This window comes from Homo sapiens, chromosome 7, assembly GCF_000001405.40.
Source record: "Homo sapiens chromosome 7, GRCh38.p14 Primary Assembly".
NCBI lineage: Eukaryota > Metazoa > Chordata > Mammalia > Primates > Hominidae > Homo > Homo sapiens.
The window spans coordinates 37,961,046-37,970,619 of NC_000007.14; positions in this window are offsets into that span (position 1 = coordinate 37,961,046).

The window sequence follows — 9,574 nt, forward strand, 5'->3', positions numbered from 1 at the left end:
GTCGTGATTAAATTTACATAATATTCAGAGAACTAGATAACAGCAGCAGGAGGAAACCTCTTAATCTAGTGTCTAGTGGAATACCGTGTGTGTGCATGCTATTAGAACAATGAAGAAACTTCTATTAATTATGAAAAATGTGTATATATGCAAGTTTGTGTCTGTCTGTGATGCTATATAATAGGATATCAAACAAAATTTTTCCTGTTTTCATGGCTCAAAGCCAAGGACAATGTTTAGAGAGCCACCAGCCACCTCCTGCTTTTACTGAGAGGCACTAATGAAGACTTGGCTCTACCACTAACTCCTGCATATATCTCATCCTCCTTCTTTTAAGCCACGGAATGTGAAGTAAGTCTCGCTGGGTGTGCAGTTTTCAAAAGTGCATCTGCCATCCCTACCCCACTCTGCTCATGAAACTGAATATGTTTGTCCATCCTCTGGGGAGACTAGCATCTTGTTACTCACTTGAGCATCTGCTTAGACAGAAAAAAGTTTGAAGATAATTTTTTTTTTTGAGACGGAGTCTTGCTCTGTTGCCAGGCTGGAGTCCAGTGGCGTGACCTTGGCTCAGGGCAACCTCCGCCTCCCAGGTTCAAGTGATTCTCCTGCCTCAGCCTCCTGAGTAGCTGGGACTACAGGCACCCGCCACCATGCCCAGCTAATGTTTGTATTTTTAGTAAAGATAGAGTTTCACCATGTTGACCAGGATGGTCTCAACCTCTTGACTTCGTGATCCATCTGCCTCGACCTCCCAAAGTGATGGGATTACAGGCGTGCACCACCACACCTGGCCTGAAGATAAATATTTTAAAAATCAATAGTTTTCTAAATACCAGAAATAATTGGAAATAAAACCAAAACAAAAAAATTATACTTACATGAGCATTAGGAAAACAGACTGCCAGGAATAATCCTTACAAGAAATTTGTGAAACCTCTATTTTTTAAAAAATGTACTTTATAAATACATAATAATATGTAATGATTTTTTAAACCAATTTTTAAATCTATCTACTAAATATTGTATATAATTTATATATATTGAATATATGAAAATATGATTTTTCAGCTTAATATAGGGTTAAAATATCTATTTCCAATCCCAAAAAGATTTCCTTTGCAATTTGACAAAATAATTTCCAGGTTCACTAGAAAAAGGAACAGTTGAGACTAGAAAAATAAAAGGAAGCAGAGTTGTGGATGCTCCCTGTGAAATGCTAGGTACAAAACAAAGTGTTCATAAAAAGCTGCATGGACTCTAGAGTTCACAGACAAGTCACTGAACACAATGGCCTTAAAAAAGAAACACGAATTGAACATTTCATAGCAAAGCATCCTAAGGCCATATAAGGGATGGATTTTCTTACCAAAATATATTGGGAAAATTATCTATTTCATTCAGAAACAAAGTCTAGCTGGAGACTTACTCAGACCATGCACTGAAATCAGTTGTAATGCATTAAAGAGATAGATGTAAAAACAATATAAAACCACTCAAGAATTTTCTTAAGGCTGCTAAACTAAAAAATAGGCCAACATATCCTGATCTTGGTTTGAAAAAATTTAAAGAAAATAAAAAGCATTGAATAAAACCACACAGAAAAAAAAAAAGAACTGACACTATAAAGCCCTATATATGTATATGTACATATAAAAATAAAAGAGATTAAAATAGAACTTACAGGCCAGGCACGGTGGCTCATGCCTGTAATCCCAGCACTTTGGGAGGCCAAGGCAGGCGGATCACCTGAGGTCAGGAGTTCGAGACCAGCCTGGCCAACGTGGTGAAACCCTGTCTCTACTAAAAATACAAAAATTAGCCAGGCATGGTAGCACATGCTTGTAATCCCAGCTACTCAGGAGGCTGAGGCAGGAGAATCACTTGAACCTGGGAGGCAGAGGTTGCAGTGAGCTGAGATCGTGCCACTGTACTCCAGCCCGGATGACAGAGCCAGACTCAGTCTCAAATAATAATAATAATAATAATAACAACAACAACAACAATAACAATAACAATAATACAACTTACGTCTGGGCACAGTGGCTCACGTCTAAAATCCCAGCACTTTGGGAGGTCGACTCAGGGGGATCACTTGAGGTCAGGAGTTTGAGACCAGTCTGGCCAACATGGTAAAACTCCGTCTCTACTAAAAATACAAAAATTAGCTGGGCATGGTGGAGAGTGCCTGTAATCCCAGCTACTCAGGAGGCTGAGGCGAGAGAATCACCTGAACCCAGGAGGCAAGGTTGCAGTGAGCCGAGATCGCACCACTGCACTCCAGCCTGGGCGACAGAGTGAGGCTCCATCTCGAATATAATAATAATAAATAATAATAATAATAATAAATACAACTTAAAACTGGAGAAAAATCTTAGTATATTTCCTACATAACATGACATTTTACTAAGCAATTAAAATATAGCTTATTAAAAATAGATAAAAGATACAAGGAGACATTTAAGAAGACAAAAAGCTAATAAAGATTTTTAAATATCCAACTTCAGTAATAATCAAAGAAATGCAGGTTAAACACTACATAATGCCATTCTCACTTCTATGATTTATAAATATTAAAAAGTTTATAATCCCCAGAGATATGAAAGGGTTGATGATACGTACTCTCATATGCCATAGCTAGCCTATTCTTCCTTTCTTTATTTTTTTGAGAAACTGCAATCGTTTGGGGGATACAGGTGGTTTTTGGTTACATGGATACGTTCTTTAGTGGTGATTGCAGAAATTTTAACGCACCTGTTACCCAAGCAGTGGACACCCGTACCCAATATGTAGGCTTTTATCCTTCACCCCACTCCCAACCTTCTCCTCCACCAAGTCCCCAAAGTCCATTATATCACTCTTATATGGCTGGCCTATTCTTTGGCACATTTCTAGAAAGCATTTTGGTGATACAAATTAAAAGCCTTATAAAATTTCTTATGCCATCATCTGCCCACTCCCACCCCCTAGTTATTGAGATGGGCATTTAAGTATTGCAAACTTTAAACATAATTCCAGCTAAATTCTTGCAGTCCAGATGTGCGCTCTAGAACACGTAAGTTTTAATGAATCATTTGATCATTTATTGGAGTCATCTTCACATTGCTTTTGAAGAAAACACTGGTCTTTCCTCAGATTATCTTTGAGAGTTGGAGAATCTTTTATCCAACCGTATTTAATCTTCCATCCAAGGATATGAATTCGACCTGATGGGCTATTGAAACTTTGGGGGTTGTACTAGTCTGTTCTCACACTGCTATAAAGATACTACCAGAGACTGGGTAATTTATAAACAAAGAGGTTTAGTTGACTCACAGTTATGCCTGGCTGGGAAGGCCTCAGGAAACATACAATCACGGCAGAAGGAGAAGCAGTCACCTTCTTCACAAGGTGGCAGGAGAGAGAGTGTCAGCGAGCAAAGGGGGAAGTACTTCTTCTAAAAGCATCAGCTCTAATGAAAACTCACTCACTATCATGAGAACAGCATAGGGAAAACCACTCCCATGATCCAATCAAGTCCCACTAAGCGGCCCCCTTGACACATGGGTATGGGGAATACAAATTGAAATGAGATTTGGGTGGGGACACAGAGCCAAACCACATCAGGGGTCTCCTCTTTACCAGCCACAGAATCTTTGGATTCTCACTCCTTCAAAATGCACATGCTTGGGCAAAAATACACTGTGTCCATCACAAGCCTTTAGTTCAATTTTGAATGGTGGATTAGCGTAAAATTCCTAGAGCAGTGGATCTCAAACGGTGCCATGACTTGAAATCACCTGAGAGAGTTGATAGAAGAGTTTGTTGGTCCCCTGCTCCCAGTTTCAGATTCAGTAGACCTGGGGAAAGGCCTGCTAATTCACCTTTCTAACCAGCTTCCAGGTGATGCTGATGCTGGTGGAGAACCCCTGGCCCAGAGGAAAGTATTTCTAAGGTGAGCAGGACAAGTAGTCACTTGGTTTTTGAGGGGGCCAAAATTTTGAATTAAAAACATGAAACTATGATAGAATTATTTCAAGCACATATCAGCTAGTGTGCGACAGAGATTTTGGTGCCATACCAATATCCTAGCCACACTCTGACAATCATTTACTACTTTTTAATGTGAGACCAGCCCTTGGTTTTCCAGTTAGACTTTCTTTTCCTAAAGGGCAAATTTCCATCTTAAACATTTTTTTAATTCCCCATAGTTATTTGCACAGGTAAAGGATCAGTAGAGATATGCTTCTGAACTGAATTTATAAATCAAACATACCCTGAAAAGAGAGAATCCATAGAAAGTTTTGGGGTTGTAGCCACAGCTGCAATTTAGGATTTGGTGCTTAGCCCAGTTAAGAAATGTCACTAAATCCCCATCTTTCCATTATCCCAGTTGTAGCTGAGGATAAACTTTGAGGTTGAAGATTTTAATGATGGTAAAGCTCCTCTAAGAGTCCCTGGATGGACTTTATTTGAAGAAGCCAATAATAATGATGATCATGGGATGAGGATAGTATTATTCAGTTCATGCCGGTTCTTAATGAAGTTGCGGGGAAAGAGAAGGAGAATGTGAGAGATGCAAATAAAGGAATTATCTCTGCCTGGGAAACAATTTTTAAAAGCCAACATTTCTCATGTATCGGCCTCGAGGTTTTCTTTTTTTATTTTTTAGGGAAGGTTTCTTGGAAAAAGCTGTTGAGGTTGGGTATCGAATGTTCTTTGTCTCCTTCTTTTTTATGTACTTATGTGGTTATATATGTATTTACTTTTATCCCAGCCATTGGGCAATATCCTATTTTCCCCTGATGAAGCTGGGGCTTTGGTGCCCTTTCCAGTTATAGTAATAATAATGGTTAACTTGTTTATAGCACTTACTAATCACAAGGCACTGTCCTAAGTATTTGACAAGTATTAATTCATTTAATTTATAACGGTCCTATTTTATTATTTATTTTATAGTTGAGAGCTCTGAAGCACAGAGAGATTAAGTAGCATGTCCAACGTCAGCCAGGAAGTAATACAGCTGGGATTTATGCTGGTCAGTCTCTAACCACTATGCCGAGCTGTGGGCTTAAAGCCATGCTGCTGAACTGCAATGGAATACCAGGAAGCCACAGGCTCCAAATCAAAGGACCCCTGTGAAATTCTGGTCCAATCTATAGATGTCTTTGCACCCAATTTTTCATCCAGGTATAATCAAGGATCCTAATAATTACTTCACAGACTTCATAAAGTAAAATGATAATATGTATGCACAAACAACTACAACAGTCCCCTGAGCACGTGTACTCGGCACATGTGAGTTTCTGTCCTTATGAGAAGAAATCTTCACAACAAAGGAGGTGTGCATTCTCTGGCCCCATACATCTACGTGTTCTACCCATCCTTAGAGGCATTGTGGCTGAAGGTGAGAACATCCCTTGTGTCCTGGGGCATGCTGTGTTTAGAAGAGCTGTCACTCACACGCATACACATTTTGACTGAGTCAAAATTGCACCTAAAAGAGACAAGAAGGAAGCTCTCAACTAAACTGAATTTTCCAGGATTTGTCTATAGCAGAGAGACAGGGTGATATTTTAAATATTACCATCCCCAGGCCTCAGTGAACCAAACTCAAAAACTTTTCAAACTTTTCAAAAGCTGCAAAACAAAACAAAACAAAAAACTATGGGGCATGAAGATGCAGATGCATGCATACTTCCAGAGTAAGTCTCTGCAAGCCCATGACAACTCACAAAGGAGATAAGCCTTGGTGAGTCCAAGCTAAGATGGAGTGTGGGGCTTCAAGGCCAGCCACTGGCCAACAACTCACCTTTGAATGCCCAGTGCCCTGGGCTCTGCCCGCTGCCCTGCCCCAATGCATTGCCTACATCCTAGTAGACTTGGAGGCTTGCAGACTTTGCCTGAAGATGGTGGCAGGAAAACCAATGTGGAATAGGACCAACCTGTTGAAACTTCTATATGATCCAGAGACACCATGCACAGGGCATTGCTGCCACACTTGCCACTGGGGAGTGGTTCTAAGGAGAGCAGGTGAAATGAAAAGCATGACTACTGTGTCTGACAAAGGCAGGGCTCCAGCAGGGCTTGCCTGTGTCATCGTTCTAATATGAAGGCTTATGTTTCCTGGGGCACTGTTCTGAGAGTACTGTGTGAAATGACCCCTTTATTCTTCACAATGGCCCTTATTATCCTGTATTATGAGACAGTTGAGACTTAGAGAGATTCAATGACTTGCCTGATTCCCACAGCCAGTAGCCCTCTCTCCAGGATGGTGCAAATCTTTAAAGGCATCGCCCTGCTCTCTGAAGGAAATACAATCTCCATCATAGCTGCAGGCAAGTCCCTGCAGAAACCAGCCCCTCAGTACCTCTCTACTGAAATTACTATTTTTTTTTTGCCCCATTCTCATTCTGCATTTAGTCTACGGTGAATTGTGTTCATGTCTTCAAGTGTATTATATTCTGTCACCTCAGGACTTTTACATGTGTTTTCTCTGCCTGGAACCATTCTTTCCTATCTCCCTGTCCAGGACAATCACTATTCAGACTTCAGGGTAAACTTAGATCCAGTGTTTTCCCCAACAAGAAATTGGCAGTTACTCATATAATCTGCTTTGTAGTACATTGTTCTTTGCTTATCATACATTTTACTTTATTGTATTGACTGATGGAGCTGTTGGTCTCCCCACTAGACACAAGGCTCTATGTGGCCAGACTTTGTCCACAGAGCATGGAGCCTTTCTCCACATGGGTGATCAATAAATATCATTGCATGAACAAAAACTTGAATTTCTTTTGCTTTGCTGTGTCATTTCCCCCACTATCCCATCTCTGACTCTGAAAATCCTAATTTAAAGTTCTTGCTGATAATTGGCCTCATCAGTTTGACTTATCAGTTTGACTTAAGACTTTGTTGTCTCCATGCTTGCCTAGCAAGAACCAAAATTCTTATATACCAAAATCCTTAGAGAGTTCCAAAGAAGTTATCATAATGCCAAAAAATAATGCGGAGCAGTCAAAAAGAAGGGTCTTTTTTTCCTTCTTAATTTAAAAAAACTCTTCTCCGATTTCCCTTGAAGCCACTGACACACACATAACCCTGGTCTCACTGTAACCTCACAATCCAGGAAGCCACATATCATGTGCTTTGGCTCTTACAGGTCACTCATGCTCAGAAGCAGGGCAAGAATGAAAAAAACACTAGTTTCAGGGGAAAAGAAAACTCAGGCCCTGTTCCCAGCACGGTAACTCTCTAGATGTGCTGATTTCTGCATGATGTTCAGTCTCTCTGGGTCTCTATTTCCCTTTATTTCATAGAGTAGCTTTGAGAATTTAGTGAAGTAATATATGCCAGATGCCTAGGCAAGGGCCAAACATGTAACAAATAGTTGCTGATGCCAGTTTTCTTCTTTCCTTTGCCTTTATCTTGGGAGATTTTGGTTTAGGAATTTTATAGCATATCTGATACTATAAAATGATTAATCTGGTCATCAGTGGATCTGTAAACACCTGGAAATTGCATGCAAAGTTGGGTATGTCTTCAAGTAACTTTATTTCTACAGAAAGTGTCTCTGTTAGCTTCCTGGGTCTGCTTTAACAAAGTACCACAAACTGAGTGGCTTAAAAAACATAAACATATTGCCACACAGTTCTGGGGGCTAGAAGTCTGAAATCAAGATATGGGCAGGGATGGTTCCTTCTGAGAGCTGTGAGGAAGAATCTATTCAAGGCTTCTCTCCTAGCTTCTGGTAGTGCCAAGCATCCTTGGCTTGTCGATGGTTGTCTCCTTGCATCCAAATTTGGTCTCTGTGTCCAAATTTCCTCCTTATATAAGGACGTCAGTTATTCTGGATTAGGTCCCACCCAAACGACCACATTTAACTTAATGATCTGCAGAGATTCTATTTCCAAATAAGGTCACATTAATAGGCACTGGGGTTTGAACTCCAATGTTTCTTTTGAGGGGAAACAATTCAACTCATAAAAGAATACAGTTTTCATCAGATTCTTAACGGGGCTTATGGCCCTTCCAAAGACTAAGAACTAGTAACTGTAAAATCTACTTTATGGCTTATCCAATACCAACCTAACCAGCAAGCTTGTAGGCTTGAGATGGACCATGGTACGTCTTGAGTGCCAAATCATGGAGAAACACCAAGGCAATTGTGATGGGGTTGTTTATGCACGTGCTAATGGGAAAAAAGTACAGGAAGTATCTTTCTACATCAAACTTTATACCAGTTGGTAACCATTGCTGTTTGGTTAAAATCTTGCTGTGTTAAGAATTTCTCAAGTCTCATTCTAATGAAGTTTACAATCCAGTGGCTGAGACATGTTTACCAAAAAACACATATGCATGCATAATTATAAATTGGGAATAGTACTAAGATGGAAAGAAGCAAGATTCTATAAAATTAAAGAATATGACTTGACCTGGATCGGCCAGGGAAGGCTTTACTGAGGAAATGATGCTTCATCTGAGTCTGGAAAAATGAATTAAAGTGCATCTAAAGGGATGAGTATTCCAGGCAGAGGAACAGCACGTACAAAGCCTCTGCGATAGGAGGGAACATGGCATATTGGGGAAACTATAAGAAAGCCAGTGGTATGGGAACAGAGACTTGGAAGTGGGAGAATGAGAACAATGTGAGATGAGGTTGAAGGACACTTGGGCATTTTGAGAAATGCAGGAACTTATCCTAAGAGAAATGGGACACCATTGAAAGGCTTTTCCATCTTCCTCAACCTGCATGTCAATCTATACTCTTAGCCTGCTAGCCCTCTGCCATCTTGACATTTTTAGCCTTGATTCTTCAGAGATACCACTTTATTCTGGATATACTCCCACTACTCTGGCTATGCTTTTTCAATCTCATTTTTCTCTGTCTGCTCCTTAAATATTGCTTTCCACTCCCTCCCTGAGTGATCTCATCCTGTTGCATGGTTTCAGCTACCATCCTCTTGTAGATACCTTTACAAAACCTTTTTCCTGGGTTGTAGTTGCCTTTTTTCATCTGCTTAGAAAATAAATAATGCACAATTTTCGTCAATTTTTGTCACATGAATATTTATGAATATTTATATGGTCTGCTTAAGCCCTGTTTTGTAACTCTATGGATAACTGCTTTTGAGAGGATGTTCCCAAACTGGTATCATTTTAGCTATTAAGATAAATTTGCTACAGGGCGGAAGAGAATAAGTCACCTCTGAGGAGGTGTGAACAGTGACTGGTGGGGTGCTGGCCGCAAGGCCTCCCTGCTCATCACTGGAAACAGTTGACAGATAGTCTGCCCTTGTGTGCTCTCCTGATATATAAAACACATGCTTTGAGTTTGCTGAGGTTTCCACTCATCTTTCCCAGGGCACCCTGACTCAGGGCTCCAATCACCCTCTGCTGACATCTGTGTGGGCACAAAGCATCCCCCCAGCTGAGACGGCATGAAAGGAAACCAACACATTAATGCACTTGAAGGTCACTGTGGCAATGTCTGAAAATCAGACTGCAGTAAAAGTCTTGGTGCATCTGATTCTCAGGCAGAAATACTTCTCAGGTATCTACTGTGGAAGATAAAGAGGAAGGGTAGAGAAAGAAA